The 22010-nt window shown below is 34.3% G+C and overlaps 1 protein-coding gene across 10 annotated transcripts in view; it reads right to left on the bottom strand.

Annotated features, from left to right (window-relative positions):
• Positions 1-22010, bottom strand: part of ODR4 (odr-4 GPCR localization factor homolog) — a 59194-nt gene that overhangs the window by 20191 nt on the left and 16993 nt on the right. For 5 of the 10 annotated variants that reach the window (XR_007061319.1, XM_047423438.1, NM_017847.6 and 2 more), the window contains 4 exons: positions 20826-20894; positions 16400-16528; positions 15797-15887; positions 8573-8758 (listed from right to left, as the gene is read on the bottom strand). Coding sequence is in view for 8 of the 10 variants with exons in the window: in XM_047423438.1 (XP_047279394.1) it covers positions 8573-8758; positions 15797-15887; positions 16400-16528; positions 20826-20894 (475 nt within the window). In the remaining 2 variants the exon portion in view is untranslated. Of the gene's footprint in view, positions 1-2947; positions 3031-8572; positions 8759-15796; positions 15888-16399; positions 16543-20825; positions 20895-22010 lie in introns of those variants that run through there. The other 5 variants (XM_047423439.1, XM_047423440.1, XR_007061320.1 and 2 more) reach the window with 4 other exon arrangements.

The raw sequence follows: 22010 nt of genomic DNA, 5'->3' as shown, positions 1-22010 counted from the left end.
TCTGTTAAAAAGGTATTTTTTGGCCGGACGTAGTGGCTCACGCTTGTAATCCCAGCACTTTGGGAGGCCGAGGCGGGCAGGTCACGAGGTCAGGAGATCGAGATCATCCTGGCTAACATGGTGAAACCCCGTCTCTACTAAAAATACAAAAAAATTAGCCAGGTATGGTGGCAGGCACCTGTAGTCCCAGCTACTCAGGAGGCTGACGCAGGAGAATGGCGTGAACCCAGGAGGCAGAGCTTGCAGTGAGCCAAGATAGTGCCAGTGCACTCCAGCCTGGGCAACAGAGCAAGACTGTCTCAAAAAAAAAAAAAAAGGTTTTTGTTTTTTTCCCCCATATTTGGGCCAATAAAATCCTTATATCAGATAACAAACAAAAATAATGGATGGTATGAATTATACCTGTTTGCTATAGGAAATTTATTACTTGAATACTTGCATATAAAAAAACAAAATTGTTTTAGTTGTCATAATATATTACTTATATATTTAATATTGAATTATTACATATGAAGATCATGCTCTAGAAGATCGTACTCTGAGCAAATAATTTACTTTCATAAAAGACATTTCATTGCCCTATTTCCATTTTTAAATCTGTCATACAAAATCATGAGGTTTGATACAAATTTGAGATAATTTTACCGAAGCAGAATGTTTTTCAATAATGAATAAGGCCTTATCACAGCAATTTATTTGTCTGTTTATTTTTGGTGGGGGCTTGTAGGATTTTTAAACCAAATCTCAGGCACTGTGTTATTTCACCAATATTTTAATATATTACAAGAAATTTAAATGCAAATAACACAGTGATTCAATAGAACACTAGATCTCAACCATTCCTTAAAACCAAGTCATTTCAAATTCAGACAAATCGAAAACTGATCATGTTAAGAGTATTCTTGAGCAGCTGTCAAAAAGAGAGAGAAAACAAGGGCTGTGAATGCATGCAAAAGTTGCAGACGTGTTCAGATTTCATTCCAAGCTGCTGATAGGTAGGCAGAACTATTTAGAAGCTTAAAATGAAATGTTAAGACTTGAACTCCTTAGTAGCCTGTGTTCTTCCTATCCCTAATTCCTAAATTACTGTATCATTATAGTCAGCGATGTAGCCATAAAATTATATCTTCAGTATTACTCATTTTTCCTTTATAATTGTCAATGTTTAACCAAATGACAAAAATTAATCTCAGCTCTGATATTGGCAAAGATGAGGTTCACCAGATTTTAAAGGTATGACTTCAAATTTTTTTAGATGGTACTGTTGATAAAAGTACATTGAAATTATCAAGTTAACATCTACTAGGAGATGACTAACACAGCTAAGAAATTTTAAAGCCATAGTTATCCCTCACCTCAAGCGAGTCATTTTGACAAACAAATTGTTCTTCATCTCTTAAGTCATTTAAAAGTATGTTATTTTAAGATACTTACTTGGCAAATATGTATTTTAAACATAGCAACTACTTGGGCAACTATACTATAGAACAGAAATAAGTAATAATCAGGTAAATCATACAAGTTGAGCATCCTTTACCTGAAATGATTTTTTTTTTCAAATTTTGGATTATTTGCATTATACTTACTTGTTGAGCATCCCTAATCTGAAATCCAAAACCCAAAATGTTCTAATGAGTATATTTCCTTTGAGCATCATGTTGGTGCTCAAAAAGTTTCTAATTTTGGAGCATTTTGTATTTCAGACTTTCAGATTAGGGATATTCAACCTCTAATGTTAAATACTTAGAAGACAAAGCAATATGTTTATAGCAAATTTAATGTTCCTAAATGCGTAGTAATTGATTCCAATTTTTGAATTTGAACATTTGAGCTCCACTTTCTTATGGTTTATTTTATATGGAAACTCTAATTTCAAATATTTAGGAAAACTTATACATATTATAAGACATTTTCATACTTTAACATTAATATTTTTCATTACAAGTCAGAGGTTCAGTATTTAAAAGCCTAATAATGTGTTAATATCATCCTCCATTTATATATCTCTTTCTGTTTAGAAAGCATTTTCCCTAACAGTTTTACCAAATTCTCACATCAACCCCAAGAGAATCTAGGACTCAGAGGGGACTTCTTTAAGGTTAGTTTTAAGTGGCAGGCCTGGACTCCTGGACATTATCTTTGTAAAATTATGGCATCTACTATCTTTGAGTAAATGAATAAATGAGTAAATGAGTGAATAAGCGCATATAATTCTAAAAAAAATAGGATGTTTATGTAAAAGCACTTAATTTTTCTATTAAAATGTATGTTTTTATTCTATTATTTGGGAATGTGTTCTTTATAATAAATATGCAGAATTACTATATCATTCCTTCCAATTTAACAAATGCTTGATGAAACTTATACTTCTAGGTAAGTCATATTCTTGGTTGTAATACATCTCATACCAGTGTTCAATTCCTAAAAAGCTACTTTTATTTGTATTCATCCTTCAAAACGAACTCAAATGTCACCTGCTCTAAGCTTTCCCTGAATCCCTTACAGAGACAGTGCCTCTGCTAAGAGTTCTGACTCTTCTCTGTTCATTCTTGTTATAGAATTATTAGTGGTTTCAGCAATTAATAATTTCAAATAATTAGATATTAATAATAAAACCAGGGATCAGCATATTACAGCACATGGGCCACCTTGTTTTGAAATAACTCATTTCTTTGTATTTCCCATTGCACTGTGGGCTTCTTGAGAGTCAGGACTACATATTTTATCTGTAGAATCCTAATACATAATAGGCAGCCAAGAACAGACATCACTCACTCACTCAGTCACTCACTTGAGATCCATGTAAGTTTCAAAAACAGGGCAGAGTCCTGAAAGGATCATACCTACCATACTGAAGTATCTTCAATACATTATACAATATTAGAAAAATGTGTAATATCATCTAGAAACCATGAGTTTAATATGGCATACATGTAAGTATACACACCTAAACTTTCCAAATTGCTGTTTTGCTTCCTTTGTTCTTGTAATATTAAACTCTTCCTACTGTTAATCCATCTCTATACTAGACTGTCAGCATAAAAAAGAGAAATATAGACAGTAAATAATTTTTAAATACAGTGTGAAACATATAACTAAGTTTTAATATTAAAAGTTTATGAAAGTTAAAATCCACAAATCAGACATATGTATTAATATTTATATATTATCTAAGATTTTTACGTTATTTTAAGGTATTTCATATTTACTGGTTCATGCTAATATTTCACAAGGTACAAATAATGCTAATGATAAAGCTTACTGAGGGAACCCAAGAAAGAGGATTAAAATATATTTACTATATATATAAATAAAAACAATTCATTAGAGAATAGCATTTATATCTGACAATAATGGATAAAGTATATTGTTTTGAGGCTAAAATTAAAACTTTTATTTATTTGCAAAAGCAAACATCATTCAAAACTATGAAACTTTCAATACAAGTAGGATCATACACTGTATATTACAGAGCATCAATTTATAAAACTGGTGTGTGCTTTCAGTGACCTTTCAGTTGAAGTGAAACATAGAAGTAGTACAGGTTGAGTATTCCTCATCCAAAATGCTTGGGATCGTAAGTGTTTCAGATTTCAGATTTTTTTAAATTCTGAAATACTTGCAGTACACCAGCTTAGCATTCCTAACCCAAGAATCCAAAATCTGAAATGCTCTAATGAACATTTCCTTTGAGCATCATATCGGTGCTCAAAAAGGTTCAAATTTTGGAGCATTTCAGATTTTAGATTTTCAGATTAGGGATACTCAACATTATAATAAAGAATAAAAAAAGGGAAATAATTTACTAACTCTTTTTTTTTTTTTGAGACAGAGTTTTGCTCTTGTTGCCCAGGCTGGAGTGCAATGGCACGATCTTGGCTCACCACAACCTCCGCCTTCCGGGTTCAAGTGATTCACCTGCCTCCACCTCCTGAGTAGCTGGGTTTACAGGCATGCCTCACCACGCCTGGCTAACTTTGTATTTTTAGTAGAGACGGGGTTTCTCCATGTTGGTCAGGCTGGTCTTGAACTCCCGACCTCAGGTGATCCACCCGCCTTGGCCTCCCAAAGTGCTGGGACTACAGGCGTGAGCCACCGCACCCAGCCCACTAAAATTTTAATACAGGAATGCCAAAACTTCGTTACTGTATATTATAGATTACTGCTAATGCCTATAATAGAGACTTTTTTCTGATTAAATTATTAACCAAATCACTGGAGACCCTAAAATTCTGATCACTAATCTTGATGGAGTTCTTAGGTACTCTTAGGACCTTACTACATTCTCTGCATAACTAATCACGCATATACATTCTATCTTTCCTCTAGGCTTCTAAAGGAAAGGAATCAAGTTATTGATTCATATCTATTATATTGTCTTGAACAGAGCATAAGCTTAATAAACATCTGATAAAGAGACATACTAAATGCTGTAAACTAGATTAAAATTTCTGGGGCAACAACTAGTGCTACATATTTTCATATAAAAGACATAATTTCATGTCTTAAATGTTCAAAACTCCTGAAAATGTTCTGAACTACTGAGCCATACAGCTATGAATATTATAGACTTTTTAAACCCTCAACATGTTCAATATACTATACTACACAAATCTTAAAAACCTTGTCTGTACAGGCATAAGCTAATAATTTCTCAAGTATGAAATAAATGTGAAAACAAGAAGTGCTGTAGTTTCCTAAGAATCACTTATTCAGTATTTATGAATCAGTAACAAATAATTAGGAACACCTACCATGTTTTAGGTACAGATAAATACTCTACTTACTCTCAAAAATCTTATAGTCTAATGTGAAAGATCAACATTAAATATGCAATTGATGATTTAAATAATTACAAGTATGTAAAGTATTATAGAAGAACAGCATAGAAGAGGGAACTACAAGAAAGTTTAGTGAAGGAGTTTACCTAGTCTGAACAAGTCTGAAGTTAGTAAAAACATAGTATCTACACAGACATTTTTTTAAAAAACTCTATTGGCTGGCCTTGGTGACTAACACCTGTAATCCCAGCACTTTGGGAGGCTGAGGCAGGCGGATCACAAGGTCAGGAGTTAGAGAACAGCCTGACCAACATGCTGAAACCCCATCTCTATTAACAATACAAAAATTAGCTGGGCTTGGTGGCACGCACCTGTAATCCCAGCTACTCAGGAGGCTGAGGCAGGAGAATCGCTTGAACCCGGGAGGCAGAGGTTGCAGTGAGCTGAGAATGCAACATTGCAATCCAGCTTGGGAGACAGAGCGAGACTCCGTCTCAAAAAACAAACAAACAAAAATCTACTTAGCTCCTTGAAGACAGAATCAGCATTTTGTTGTTCTTTGGACTCTAATCCATAGGACAAAATAAATAATTTATTCAGTCAACAAATATCTACTGAATACCTATGACATGCTAAGGCTAAGCTCTTAGTAAAGTGCTAGAAACACAACAGTAAGCAAGAGAGGCAAAGGCCCTTTTTGCTCTTTCAACAGATGTTTGCTGAAATGCACATGTAACGGTTTCATGAGAATTTGAATTTATTGGGTTTTAGTTTTGGTTTTGGGAGGCTGTCATGCCAGGTTGCCATAGTTACCTCTTAGGAATACATTACAGTGGTTGAAGCTACTTAATTTTTTTTTTTTTTTTTGAGACAGGGTCCTACTCTGTCACCCAGGCTGAACGGCAGTGGTGTAAACACGGCCCATTGAAACTTCTACAGCTAATTTTTGTATTTTTATTGTAGAGACAGGGTTTCACCATGTTGCCCAAGTTAATTTTTTTTAATGTCTTAGCAATGTAAAGAAAGAATATAAACCTCTGTTACTAACTGTTTGTTAAAATATTAACTTAAAAAGAACTGAATAAAACAGTCTTAAACTAGTCTATATACTTGTGTTTAACATACAACATGAAATTAAATGAGTTAAAAATACTTAAGACAGAAATATTTTTAAGAATTATTTAAAAAACCTAGATGAAATGACTCTCTCTTCCTATTCTTTTATATCTGACTTTTAAAGTAACTTGTGAATGGGGCAAGTTTTGCATACAGTGCTACCCTTAGTCATTCTTAGTTTAAGAATGTGAGATGCACAAGAATGTGACAAATAATTCAAAAAATTATATATAAACATGATATATTTTATATTTTTATAAGAAAACAATACATTTTTGTATATTGTTTATATTATATATTTTATAAACATATTCATATAAACATATAAACATGTTCACATATATAAACATTTTTGTTTACATACATACACAAATTGTTTATATTACATGTTTATGTATGTATATGTTTATATTATATATAAACATTATATATTGTTTATATGTTTATATAAACATAAATAATGAGATCCAAGATTCCAGCCAACAAATGAGAAATTATATTGACATAATCTAGATGAAATTAAACCAAGATAATGTAACATCATCCATTTACACTTGAAAATGTTTAAAGGGATGGAATGAAGAACGCCAGGCTAAAATATGTATCTATATCATGGAAAATAATCATACTATACTTCATTATTTAGCTCCTACACAAAGGCAGTAAAATAAAATTTTTAGAAAAGAAGCACAGACCCTAAAACCAAACTGCCTAAGTTTAAATTCCAGCTCCACCATTACGAGCAATGTAACTTTGAAAAGTTACCTGGCCTTTCTGAGCCTTAATTCTCTCATCTGGAAAATAGGATTAATAATGTTATTTACATCACAGGGTTGTTACAAGGAATGATAATTTAGTATTTGTAAGACTCTTAAAACTGTGCCTGGCAGATATATAAATAATGGCTATATTATTTTTAGAGCATTAGCTTCGTCAGGGTAACATATTTCAAGGAAGGCAAATCAGAGTATATTTAAGAAGTAATTTTTAAACTCTTTGAAAGCGATAGACCTTTTCTTCAGAAAAAAAATCATACAATTACTTTCAAGTGGTTTGTGGATCTTCTAAAAGTTCAGCTCTGACACCAGAGGTTTTGAACCCCACAGGTTAAAAATTCCTAATCTACCGGAAAGCAAACAAGGTGGTAAGAAAAAAATGTGGTCTGGAAACTGTAATAAAATGAACAGCTTAAGGTAGGTGAGAATATATGGCTTTGAAATGTTTAGAACATAATAGTTGCTCTCAAATTTAAAGCATGGTCTCAGTGAGGAAGTGGTACTCATGTTTTATTGCTGCATATTACTGAAAGAATAGGTTACAGGGAGGCAGATTGGTATTTAGAATAAAGAAGAATAGAATCTGAATCCCCATCTGCTAGGGATGTAGTTTTCAGTATTAAGAGGTTAAATTAGGTCAATTTGAATGATCCTACCAACATTATAAGATCTATTCAACAACAGAATGGCTCAAGAACTATTGCTAGGCCTTAACGATAGAGAAGTGAACAAAACAAACAAAAATCCCTGTCCTCATGATCCTAAGTTTCGTTGGCAGAGATAATGCAGTCACTAACCAAGGAAAATAAATTTTGGAAAGCAGTAAACATTTTTACCAGTCTACTTTCAAAAAGCAGATACTTTCCATCTGCTACAGTTATATCTTTAGAAATATTAGTTTTCATGGAACTATGCTAGAGTTGTATCTTTAAAAATATTAGTTTTCATGGGATTAGAAAGTAGCTCTTCTTTATTTTAACATCAGGCATTGGGCAATTTAGAAATTTTATTTTCCCCACTGAAACAAGCTTATTGCTCTACATCACGATCTGGTATTGCTGAAAAACTAAAGGGTGGTTTGCAACTAACTTGAGGCAGTTTACTATAGATTTGAAGTTCCCCAATCAAATACTTACTTGACTCACTATAATCTCAAGCACACTCTGAATCAAACACCCTATTCCTGAAGGGAGAATTAACTATGCAAAGAATAACTAAGAAATCAGAAAAGGAACTTACATATTTATTTATAGACATGTTTTCATACACTGAACTCACTAGAAACAAAAAGAAAGCAAAAAACCCAAACAGTCTTCCAAAGTATAAAGTCAAATGTGAAAGTGATGGCTAGGGAAAAAAAAATGTGTTACAAAACCTGGATAGTAAAGCAAATCTATGCTCTATAAAAGTCATCTAATTTCTGGAACTGCCCATTTTGGCTTAGTATCCCAATTACATGAAAGGTATATGAAAAAAAAAAGGCAAATAATATGGAGAAAATGTTTAATAAATTAGTGTTTTAAAACCTTCTGTTCTGACATGATGCTTTACCAAGTAAGATAATGAGTTTTGAGAAAACTTTTATATTGAAAGAAATACCTTAAAGCTTTGTAATTTTACCTACTTAATCCTGAACTTGTTTTATTAAGATCTACTTGCTAAGCTTGAAAAATACCTTAGTATCTTAAATTTTGGTACAATTTCCCAGGAAATACTCACTGTATGTCTAGACATGTAGAAATTAAACATGTATTTTAAAATGTCTCAGTTAATATTTCGAAGTGTCAAACAGAACTAGCTTTAAAAAAAATCTAAAGACATGATATTTAAACTAGACATCTCATAGGTAAAATCTTAGCTGTAATCTAACCAGGTTCTTAAATAGCATCATATAATGACCTGTGTTTGTTTCCTCTGCAATTTCCAAATCTTCTATTTGAATTGTGTGATCCAACATCTCCATAAAATGGTCCCTGATTTCTTCAGCTGACTCATCGTCAAATTTATAATCACACAACATTACAGTGGATCCAGGAAGGGGAACAAAGACTCGATAAGGGAGGACGTGGAACTCTTTTTCAGAATCTAAAAGGAAAAGAAATATTATCAATATTTAGATAGGTTTGTCACTGGTATCAGTGATACATATTTTAGAAGTACATACAAAAACTAATAGAAATAAAGCTTAAAAGGTCAATATTTTTTCATTTTCTGGTTGATCTGGCACAAAATTGCTCTTACCAAATTCTGCTTTACCTCAAAACCCCTGGTCTTTGCAAGGAACCTAAATGATACTCCTATGAAAAATAAACTTATCTCCAGGCGCGGTGGCTCATGCCTGTAATCCCAGCACTTTGGGAGGCTGAGGTGGGCAGATCACTTGAGGTCAGGAGTTGGAGACCAACGTGGCCAACATGGTGAAACCCCGTTTCTACTAAAAATACAAAAATTAGTCAGGCGTGGTGGCAGGTGCCTGTAATCCCAGCTACTCAGGAGGCTGAGGCAGGAGGATTTCTTGAACCGGGAGGTGGAGGTTGCGGTGAGCCAAGATCGCACCACTGCACTCCAGCCTGGGCAACAGAGCGAGACTCCATCTCAAAATAAAAATAAAAATAAAATAAACTTATCATTGCCTTCAATGTAAAGCTGTTGATTACACATTCTTATACGACCCACTGTCCTATGAAGAACACTCAAGAGACAATTTTGTCCTTGATGTCAGAAACTATTGTCCTTCTTGTCTGTTTTAGCCTCATAGGCACTGTACATTTTATAGTTGGTTTTTCTCTTCTTCATCCAAGTTTGGAGCCAAATTACTGGCCACCTTACATCTAGTGCACAGGATCTGATAGAATACATTTTTGTATTAATCTCCCCATGAATTTCATCTTACTAGATGTAGCCCCCTTCCTATATATCAAGCATGTTTAGGACATCTAGTCATACATACAGTTTTGTGTACCTATCTCACTACCAACTCCATTTTGCTTTCTTTTTTTACCTTCCCTTTGACTCTTTATTACTAATATTTATTTTCACTTGTTTACTTATGCTTCTTTGTAAAAAGCCTTAAATCATTTTTAGAAAAAAATAAATCTAAATAAATAACAAATATCTCATTCTTCTGTGAATACTTACAAACTGGAATATATTATTTCCCCTAATTTCTAACATAGTCACTGTTGCATGTAAATATATAATTACTTTTTAGTTAAATGCTACGATCCTTATGAACTATCAGAAAGATAGAAATTTTGTGAAAAGAATGACCTCTTTCAGCAACAGATATGATTAAAAAGTTACTAATGTAAAGATCAAGTGGAAAACTAGGGCTTATTTTAATAGTAACCTAGACTTCGTTGTCAAGAAACTAGTGGTAACTTTACATAATTACAAACAGAAGATGACGAACAATGCCTTAAGTGTCACAGGAAATGCAATGGCTTAAACTACGTGTTCCTTCCAGATTCTGTGTATTATCTTGTTTGCACATGAGAACTGGGAGAGAAATTTTACTCTTTGACCAGACTGCCTCCTAGCTGTAGAAGAATATTACTGCAATTTGTACTGTAGCACGAAAATTGTCCACACATTGAAATTAGGACTATATTATTTTATTTTGAGCCACAGTTACTTGAAACAGATTAAGTAAAAACTCAAAAATGACTCTAATGTGCATGTGCAATTGGCATGCAAAATTTTAAAACCATTTCAAACTACATCAATTCTTGGTCTATCTGAAAAATAACAAGCTAAAAAAATCAAACGTTAAATAACTGGTTCCAATAAATTTAAATTACTCATTAAAAAGAAAAAGCACTACAACTTTCAAATTAAGAAGTTAAATTAGCAATTTAGTATCTAAGTAAGACTCGTTTTCTGTTGGTCTGAGGTTTAAATGGGAGGAGAAATCTTTTGGAAAAGACACATCTCAAAAAGCACTCCAAAGCAGAATCCTTTAGGAATATCCTCATGTCATAGTATCTAGTTCAACATTATCTGAATAAAGTCAAAACAAATAAAAAAATTTTAAAATTAAGCCAATATAATAAGAATTGGGTTTCTATTGGTTAAATGTCCTAGCTGGTATCAGAGTAGTACTGAAACTTTTAAGTTATTTATGTATTTTTCATAGAATTTTTTTTTAGAATAGGTGATAGCACAGTTGAAGCTTAAAGGATAAGAGGACATCTGCATAAAGGGATAGGAGAAGTGCCATTCAGAGAGTGGAATCATAGGCACAGACAAACAGGATTACAAATGTTCTGGGAAGACAGTGGAGTGGTACAGAGGATACTGATGTGGGGATGGGCAAAGGTAAGAGGTTTCATAACTGATGACCTCCATTTTCACAATGAGTAGGTCATCTATGAGAATAAGTTGAGCAGGATCAAATGAAGACTTATAACAGTGAAGAAGGCTTAGGCTGTATCTTAAGAGGAATCAAAGAGGAAGATCACAACAAGTGCAAGGATTAATTGGAGTTTTTTTTTTTTTTTAAACTGACAATGAAATACTAAGTTCTTTTATCTGGATAGCCAAAATTAAAAGCCTAGGTTTAGTTTAGAGATCAGATATATAAAGTTATTATGTCCTTAACAGACTTCCTCATGCATGCAAAAATACTCTAATTCAGGTTAATTTTATGGCATACATTCTACATTTTACTATATTACAGCATCTATAAGATCTTACCAGTATATAAGAAAATAAGCAAAGTAAAATGAGGATAAAATCTAAAATCTAACAATTTGGTGTATAAATTCAACATCAGAATTTACATTTATTTATGCTTCAGGGGATGGATAACTCATTCTCCATGATGATTATTTTATATCACATGATTGTAACAAAACATCTCATATACCTCATAAATATATATATATACCTACTATGTATCCACAAAAGTTAAAAATTAAAAAAATTTTTTTAAAGAATTTACATTTATTTATATTATCACACTTACAATGTATTCTTTTATCTTGATACCTAAGATCAACTAATATGTTGTTGGAATAATTATCCTGTTACTAAAGTGTTGAATATATATTTACATCTTATTTCTGTTTGAAATATGCTAAATTTCCCAAAAATTGAAGTTAAGGCATTTTAAAGACAATTAACATAAGTTGTTCTCCTCCATCATCTCCAACATGGTATCAATACCACTTGATGAGGGCTTGGCTTACACCAATTTTATTAGGGGCCTTACAAACATCATCTCATTTAATCTTGCAGCCTCAAAAAGTAGGTACCATAATTCCTATTTTATATATAAGAAAATGGGGCCATTCATAGTGGCTCATGCCTATAATTCCCAGTGCTTTGGGAGGACTGCTTGGGGCCAGAAGTTTGAGACAACCTGGACAACATAACAAAGCCCCATCTCTACAAAAAGGTAAAAATTAAAAGATTACTCAGGCATACTGCTGTGCGCTTGTAGTCCCAGCTACCTGGGAGGCTGAGGGAGGAAGATCCCTTACAGCCAGGAGTTCAAAGCTGTATTTAGCTATGATCATACCTGTGCACAGCCACAGGACTACAGCCTGGACAACATAGCAAAGACTCTTGTCTCTACAAAAAAGTTAAAAAAAAAAAAAATTAGCCAGGCGTGGTGGCCCTTGCCTGTAGTCCCAGCTACTCAGGAGGCTGAGGCAGGAGGATCACTTAGGACCAAGAGTTCAAGGCTGCAGTGAGCTACAACTGCATTATTGCATTCCAGGCTGGGTGACAGAGAGAGACCCTGTCTCTCATTAAAAAAAAGAAGGAAGAAAGGAAGAAAGGAAGGAAGGAAGGAGAGAGAAAAGGAAAAGGAAAAGGAAAGGAGAGGAAGTAGAGGAAGAGGAGAGGAGAAAAGAGGAGAGGAGAGAAGGAAAGAAACAAAGGAAGAAAGGAAGGGAAGGAGGGAGGGAAAAGAAGAGAAAGAAAGAAAGGAAAGAAAGAAAGAAAGAAAGAAAGAAAGAAAGAAAGAAAGAAAGAATAGGATGCCTATAAAGTTATTTGTCTGAGGTTACTCTGCTAGCAGCAGAATAGACACAGAACCAGAGAACTTGTCTTCGTAGAAAGAAAGGAAGAAGAAAAAGAGAGAGAGAGAAAAGAAGACAGAAAACAAGAAGAAATAGAAAACCTGAACAGACTGATAAAAAATCACGATTGAATCAGTAATGAAAAATCTCCAAAGAAAACTCCAAGACTGGATGGTTTTACCAATGAATTCTACTGAACCTTTAAAAAAGAAATAATACCAATTATTCTCAAACTATTACAAAAAAATGAAGCACAGAGAACTCTTAACTCATTCTATGAGATCAGCATAACCTTAATACCAAAACCAAAGACACAAAAAAAGAAAACTACATGACAATATCCCTGATGAACATAGACACAAAAATCCTCAACAAAATACTAGCAAACCAAATGCAACAGTACATCAAAAAGATAATACATCATAATCAAGTGGGGTTTACTCCAGAGATTCAAGGATGATCCAACATACAAAAATTAATAATGTGATACATCACACCAAAAGAATGTCAAAAACTATGTGATCATAGAAAGAGAGGGAGGAAGGGAGGGAAGGGGAGGGAAGGGATGAGATGGGATGAAGAAGGAAGGAGAAAGAAAGAGAAAGAGAGGAAGGAAGGAAGGAAGGAGAGAGAGAGAGAGAGAAAGAAAGAAAGAGAGAAAGAAAGACAGACAGAAAGACGGACGATGCCTATAAAGTCATTTGCCTGAGGTCACTCTGCTAGGAGCAGAATACACACAGAATCCGAGAACTTCAAAGTCTTTGCTCTTTCCACCAAACTACAGTCTATGCTCTTCACACAGGTCCCAAGGCCACCCAATTGCCAGTAAAAACTTTTTCACCTTTTAAAAATTTAGGATTAGGCTTTAACATTAACTTCTAAATGTATCAAGTTTAACATACAAACAGTACAACTGCTGTTAGGGGCCATTAATTTTACTAATTGAACATCAGCAAAAATTTCAAAGTACTAACAATATGAAAGAATACCAGGATAGCCATATAATACCACTTTTATAAAGGATTTTTAAATAGAAGAGTATACTAATGTGTCTGCTAAGGTAAATCTTTAACAATAATGGTGGATACATCCCCATACCCTGCAAATCCTGAAACCTGCAATGCAGCTATAATATACACTGTTGCTCAGAACCTGAAGCAATGATTTACACCACAGGAGTTACCACAAACTCAAAGTCAAATTGCAAAAACAAAGCCACACTGAGATGGGGCTGCTAGACTGATGGACTATGTGAACAGGTCCCACATACTGCCCTCCCAAAACTCTCAATCCAATTGTTGCATGTAAGATTCAAATTCATGTTCCAGCAAAATTATAAATTATTAGTAAATGGAACTTTAGGGTTGTGAATTACGAGAAGGATAAATGTTAAATCTGCCAATCATAGAATCCAGCATACTAGGAATATAAAAAAAAGATTATAATTAGTCCATCAAACTTAACATACTAGCTATCAGTAGTACTAAAAGAAGTTGGTTATATAGAGGAGCTATGCTTTTTTTCCTATGAACATAAAAATATTCCCTTCAAAAGCTAATGTGGGCTGGGCATGGTGGCTCATGCCTATAATCCCAGCACTTTGGGAGGCCGAGGTGGGTGGATCATCTGAGGTCAGGAGTTCGAGCCCAGCCTGGCCAACATGGTGAAACCCTGTCTCTACTAAAAATACAAAAATTAGCCAGGCGTGGTGGTGGGCACCTGTAATCTCAGCTACTCGGGAGGCTGAGGCAGGAGAATTGCTGGAACCCGAAGCTAATATGAATGTTTCAATTATGTACATATCTAAATGTGAATTGCAAATCCACTAACATCAGAATAATAAGAATGGGGAGGCCGGGCGCGGTGGCTCATGCCTGTAATCCCAGCACTTTGGGAGGCCGAGACGGGCGGATCACGAGGTCAGGAGATCGAGACCATCCTGGCTAACACGGTGAAACCCCGTCTCTACTAAAAATACAAAAATTAGCCGGGCATGGTGGCGCGTGCCTGTAGTCCCAGCTACACAGGAGGCTGAGGCAGGAGAATGGCGTGAACCCGGGAGGCGGAGCTTGCAGTGAGTCGAGATCGCGCCACTGCACTCCAGCCTGGGCGACAGAGCGAAACTCCGTCTCAAAAAAAAAAAAAAAAAAAGAAAAAAAAAAAGAATGGGGAGATGATGATGTAGCTTTAAAAAGTGTACTCAATATTTTAACTTGCTTTTGATTAAAAAAATTTTTTAATACAGATTACTGCGATGGTATAAATTGTTATGTTTCCCAAAAGCTGCAATCGTTATTAATGGGTAAGATACTGTAACTCAGCCTTTTTTAAACGTAATGAAGTCTGTTAGAGTAATAGCTGAGAAGCATATAAACTAGTGTAGTTTATATAAATAGTACCTACTAAAGGAGCTATTATATAGTATTTAACACTAATAATATTTTGATTATGGCTAAATTATTTAAAATACTCATAGATATCAACAAAAAATACTAACTTTAAAATGTTAACAAAGTTTACTCATTCTGGCAGGAGAAGTTCACTTGGAATTAATTTTTTTAAAAATCCTCCCTGAAATTCTTAATTGTTGACAAATTTGCTAAATTTGATAGTGTTCTAAAACGTTTTTCTAGAGCCAAGCATGGTGGCTCACACCTGTAATCCCAGCACTTCGGGAAGCCAAAGACAGTGGATCACTTGAGTTCAGGAGTTTGAAACTAGCCTGGGCAACATGGCAAAACCCTGTCTCTAAAAAAACAATACCAAAAATTAGCAAGGCATCATGGCATGTGCCTGCAGGCCCACCTACTAGGGAGGCTGAGGTAGGAGGACTGCTTGAGCCCAAGAGGCTGAGGCTGCAGGTGAGCCATGACTGTGCCACTGCACCCCAGCCTGGGCAACACAGTGAGACTCTGTCTAAAAAAAAAAAAAAAAATCTGAGTAGCAACTGAAAAATTTTCATCCAATAATAAAAGATGATATACTGCTTGAAAATATAGATAGGTAGCTATAAAAGATGACGTATCTGCTATATCTTGATATCTTATTACTATATCAGTTGAAGATACGCAAAAAAGTACTTATTTTATACTCATAACTTTTTTTTCTGGAATTTCATTCAAAAGCAGATCCTCAAATAGCATTTCACAACGATCAGCAACTGTGTTCAATATATCCCTCTTTACTGCCTACAGGGAAAAACACACAAAAAACACAGTAAGAAATAAAATACTTTAGATTTACAATATTTAACTAACAAAAAAAATAATTTGCTTTCCAGTACAATCATGCCCACTAAATAACTGATACATCATTCAATGTTTTATTTCCACTTATTTAGCACACTTATTAACAAATTTATAGTTTAATGATAAATTTATCTAAATAGTTAAAAACAGATAAATGAATAAAATTTCACATCTAAAAAAATAATTGCAGTGTTCCAAATTAGATACTAATATGTATAACAGTGGAACACTTACTAAACTTGTATAGCCATCATTTTTAAAAAGGCACAAAATAGATACTCTACATATGAAAATCTTCACACCAATTATATGGTACATTTGGACTGCACAATAGGCCATTATCAGTTAAAATCGAATTAATAATTACAAAATATAAGATTAAAAAATGGTAAAATTTTAGGTTTTTGTTAATAGTTAACATGGTTCCATATGCTCGTTATTCCTTTTTGTACCTGCACAGCATCTTTAACTTTGGGTTTACTGCTGTGGATATAAGCTCTGCATTTCACAGCACCCTTAAGGTTTACAGAACCGCTACATATCTGGACTGTGGCTGTGGATCTGTGGTCTGAATTCAGGAGCTGAAAGACAAAATCTGTTTAAGTTCTAATAACCAACAATGATTAACTACAGGAAATATTTAAACATTATATTAGCGATTTTATGAAGAGAGAACAAAGTTTTGACTGAGCCAAGCATTTGAAATTATTCTCTGCAAATTATTTAAAGGCCTTCATATTTGTTTTTATAAGTTATATATTATTTTCCAGTCATTTTGAAGATATAATGAAATTAAACACAACTACATCTAAATTTTTCTAACATAACCATCTAAAATGGTTCAATATTCACTCGATATGCTCCTAAAAATATATTATTTGCAAATTATTCACATCAGTACTGTGATGATTAAAAGATATACAAAGAAGATATGATGTACTAGATATAAGTTGTGCAATGCAAAATAAGTTCACAATAACAAATACAAAGTGGGATGTGATAACTATGGTAAAACTACAAGCAATGCACAGACACATATATTTACACACTTTCAACCAAAAACTTTCATAGACTAGTCCCATCCTCTTTAGTCTAAGGAATGCCAGTGCTCTTGTTCGGTTTTCAGGTGTTTCACATATATTTTCAACCCCATCATCTTAATAAGTGCCAAAAACAAGGACAGTATCAAAATAGTTAAAGTACTACAGGTTGAGCATCCCTAATCTAAAAATCCTGAATGCTCCAAAATCCAAAACTTATTGAGCACCAATGTGATGTTCAAAGGAAAAGGTAATTGGAGCATATAAGATTTTAGATTTTTGGCTTAGAGATGCTCAACTGGTATGTATTCTGCAAATATTACAAAATCTAAAAAAAATCCCAAACCCAAAACACTTCTGGTCCTAAGCATTTCAAATAAGGCACACTCAACCTGTAATAGAGGCCTATAATAACAGTGGAAACAAAAAATAATGATTTACAAAAAATAACCAAAAAATGGAAATGGTAAGGAAGTAATTTATGTTCTAAGAACACTTGGAGTATAAGTCATTCAACAACCAAATCAATTCTGAAGAACAAAAGTCAAATCATACAACTTGTGAAAAGTGCTTTGTGCCTATGTGCTTATGCAATCAGGAATAAATGCGGAAAAATAATGAAGAGGAGAATACTGACATGCATAGCTATTGAAAGAGCATTATTGATGTCTAGTGTAATTCAAGCAATGTCTAAGGCAATGTAAATCTTCTAGGTGTTGTTAAACAATTTAAACTTTAAGATGGTCAAGGACTTGTTGACAAAAAATTTGCCACAGACCACACAGCTCCAAAGGTCCTGGGTCCATTCAAAAATGGCTATCATCAAACCAAGCAGCAGTGTGACGATGCTGATACAATGTCTGGAATAAGCTTCCATATGACACATGTAGAGTTCATTGATACATCAATAAGGTGGGGTTGGAGGAGGAGTAACAGGCTTCCCCTATCTACTCCATAACTTTTTATTGTAGACAAAACTACTCTAAAAAGAATGTCCTATTTTACATATTTAACATATAATTTATATATTTTTAACATATAACACATTTATATATTAGTATATGTAAATATATGTGTATGTGTGTATATACATATATCTATCTATCTATCTATCTATCTATCTATCTATCTATAATTATGGCATTGTTATCCAAAACAGACTAGACTATTAAAGACTATACACACACATATTAAAGAAAAGAGGTATTTTTTTGGTTGGTTGGTTAGTTTTATTTTGTTTTGTTTGAGGCAGGGTCTTGTTCTGTCATCCAGCCTAGAGTACAGTGATGCTATCAGAGCTCACTGCAGCCTCAAGCTCCTAGGCTCAATCGATCCTCCCACCTTCGCCTCCCAAGTAGCTGGGACTACAGGCACACACCATCACCCCCAGCTAATTTTTGTATTTTTTTGTAGAGACAGGGTTTCACTTGTTGCTCAGACTCATCTTGAACTCCTAGGCTCAAGCGATCACCCTGCCTAGGCCTCCCAAAGTGCTGGGATTACAGGCATGAGCTACCATGCTCAGCCAGGAAAAGTTTTAAAGAATGTAAGGTCTGACTCATTCCTTTTAGGTGGAAATGTAGACCAGTTGGGGTCTACAAATGTAAACTCCTCTTGGTTATTTGGACTTAGGAATAACCTGGCTGCCAAACAGCCTATAGGTGAGGGAACTTCTATGATGCTGACATGGCATTTGAAAAAGAGAAGATCCCCATTTCTATGGGAACCAAATGAAATCTTACACAAGTAGTGGCATTTGGGCTAGATCTTAATGTACAGATAGGATTTTGACAGTTTGGGTGACAGAGAAAAGAGCAAAGACATGATACATAGTTCAGGAAATACAGAGCTTTAAAGGTATGGCAAGCATACATCTAGAAAATAAGAGGTAGAAAATAAGAACAAAAAGGTATGCTGAGGCTATGAAGAACCCTGAGTTGGACTTCTCTAACTAGTCAGTACAGAACACTTAAGAAATTTTGAGCAAGGAGTACCATAATCAGTGTCCGGCTGTTGTACAAACTCAATAAATACTTCTTGAAAAAAATTAATAACTGAACATAAACTATGATTCAGAAATGATCATCTGAGTGTATAAACAGGATAGAGTAGATAAATGGAAAGTATTTCAAGAGATATACTAACAAAGGTAGAAGGGATTTAGAGAAACAATCACTTTGGACAAGAATGTATAGATGAAGAGAGACCAGTTAAGGGCTACTTGTGCTAGTTTAGGTAAAATAATACTGTTGTAAGGCTAATGACAGCAGGACTGTATGGAAAATAAAAGAAAAGCTTAATACTACAAATAAGGAATCAATAAGACTTAACTGGGAGAAAAGTGGCAATAAATACTTACTGACTACTTACTGTATATTAGTCACTTCAAAATTTCCAGTTAGGTGATCGGTGGAGTGACTACCAAAAATATATTATACTATATAATATTATTACTACACCTGGCCAGGCGCGGTGGCTCACGCCTGTAATCCCAGCACTTTGGGAGGCCGAGGCAGGCGGATCATATGGTCAGGAGATTGAGACCACCCTGGCTAACACAGTGAAACCCGTCTCTACTAAAAATACAAAAAATTAGCCAGGTGTGGTGGCAGGCGCCTGTAGTCCCAGCTACTCAGGAGGCTGAGGCAGGAGAATGGCGTGAACCCAGGAGGCAGAGCTTGCAGTGAGCCGAGATCGCACCACTGCACTCCAGCCTGGGAGACAGAGCGAGACTCCGTCTCAAAAATAACAATAATATTACTACTACAATAAATTATCTCATGAGATTATCTTCCACTCATCTCTCTATATTCCCACACTCTATACATCTCCCAACTACAATTTTATACTACTAATAAAATAATCTTAACCAAATTGTTTAATAAACCATGAAGTAAGCCTAACTAGTGAAAAGCACATAAGTAGTGGAATAGCCAGCCTCAAAACAAAGGACACTTCTAAAATCAAGACAAAGTAGAAAATCAGAGACTAAAATACCTCTAAGGTATTGAAAAATGAAATTGAGAACTCACATTGAGTGGCATAGGCCCAAAGACAATTTACTAATGCGCTATTGCTACACACAGAAAAAGAAGAAACTAAAACATCCTCAAATGCCAAATTGCTTTTAATTCTATTCTATTCAGTTCAAAAAAACACAAGTCCTGAGAGTATTTCTGTTTCAAAATCCAGTATAATATTGAAATAAAGTTTCCTACAAACACGCGTTTGCTATTTTATACCCTTGTCTGTTCTTTAGGATAATTTCAAGTAGGATTAAAATCAAAGGTATGTATTTTTAGGAATAATTAGTGGCTTTAACTTTTTATTCTTTAAGATATCCAACTTTTAAATTTTCGAAAAGACGTGTAAATTAAAGCAACCATACATAAATATAAAACTTGCTAATTAATACTTTGTGATTTTTATCAAATCAGGGGGTATAAATCTAATTAATCTACTTCAAAATAAGCATATGACAACTCTTTGCACCTCTGTGTACACATCTTTTAAGTTGTTAAAATTGCAACTTTAACTATAAAAGCTACAACCCAAAATATGTACACATACATACATGTATATGTATGCATGTATGTGTACATATTTTTTTAAACTGCTATCTATTGATGTTAAAATTTTAATATCCTTGAGGCAAAAAACCCAAACAGGTTTTATTAAAATGATGTTTCTTGGGAATAACCTTCCTATAACCAGCCATTTCATACAGTCTCTTACAGCTCTAAAATCCTTTTATTCTCTAATGAGAAAAATAAAAACAGAAACAGTTTCATTATGGTTATGCTAATAAATATTTTAAGTGTTATTTTAAAATATTTACCAACTGCGTTAGCACTCTGACATCAAAAGAATGACTAGTTGCTTGAGTATTTCCTCTAGAAGATTTTTTCTGAAAAAACACAAAAGTTAAAAAGCCAAACTGTGAAGCCTGTAAAACATAAAAGACAACTTATAAACTATTGTACATATACTAAGTAACTTAGAAAAAAACAAGTCTTTTAATTATTTTAATTTAGCTTTTTATATAGATATTACTTTATGTATTCTGTATCAATGTACACTCTTTAAAACAATTAATTCCATACTTTCATTCCTCTAAAGCAACAACTGGCAAACCACTGCCTGTGGGCAAATACCCACATTGCCACTCATCTTTGTAAATAAAGTTTTACCGGTATGCAACCAGGATCATTCACTTATGTATCTCCTGTAGCTGCTTTCATGCTACACAGTAGAGATAAAAATACAGCCTGTGAAATCTAAATATGTAGTATTTTTCTCTTCACATAAAGTTTGCTGATCCCTGCTTTAAAAAGTGAGAGATCACAAAAGTTCCGCTTCCTTCAGGTCAAAGCTATTTTAGAAGCCTCTATAAACCTCTTTTATAAAATGGCCATAGCTTTTGAACTGTCATCAGGGCAGAACAACATGTGGCCTTTGGTTGCAGGTCAGCAGTTTACAATTTGGAAATCAGATGAAATTCAGATGACACTCCTGTAAAGTTTCAGGATTCCAATTACATCATTTTCTTTTTTTTCCTGGACTTATTTTTTAACTTTTAAGTTCATGAGTACATGTGCAGATTTGTTACACAGATAAACTTCAGTCATGGGGGTTTGATATACGGATTATTTCATCACCCAGGTATTAAACCTAGTACCCATTATTTATTTTTCCTGATCCTCTCCTTCTCCCTCCTTTTAGTGTGTGTTTTTCCCCTCTATGTGTCCATGTGTTTTCATCATTTGGCTCCCACTTATAAGTCAGAACATACGGTATTTGGTTTTCTGTTCCTCTGTTAGTTTTCTTCTTTTCCTTTTCTTTTATTTTGAAATGGAGTCTTACTCTGTAGCCAAAGGCTGGAGTGCAGTGGCACGATCTCGGCTCAATGCAACCTCCACCTCCCAGGTTCAAGCCATTCTTCTGCCTCAGCACCCCGAGTAGCTTGTGCTTACAGGCACCTGCCACCACACCCGGCTAATTTTTGTTATTTTTAGTAGAGACA

The sequence above is a fragment of the Homo sapiens genome, chromosome 1, assembly GCF_000001405.40.
Source record: "Homo sapiens chromosome 1, GRCh38.p14 Primary Assembly".
Lineage (NCBI taxonomy): Eukaryota > Metazoa > Chordata > Mammalia > Primates > Hominidae > Homo > Homo sapiens.
Note: the sequence above shows the minus strand (reverse complement) of the source record. Positions and strands in the feature narration are given on the sequence as shown.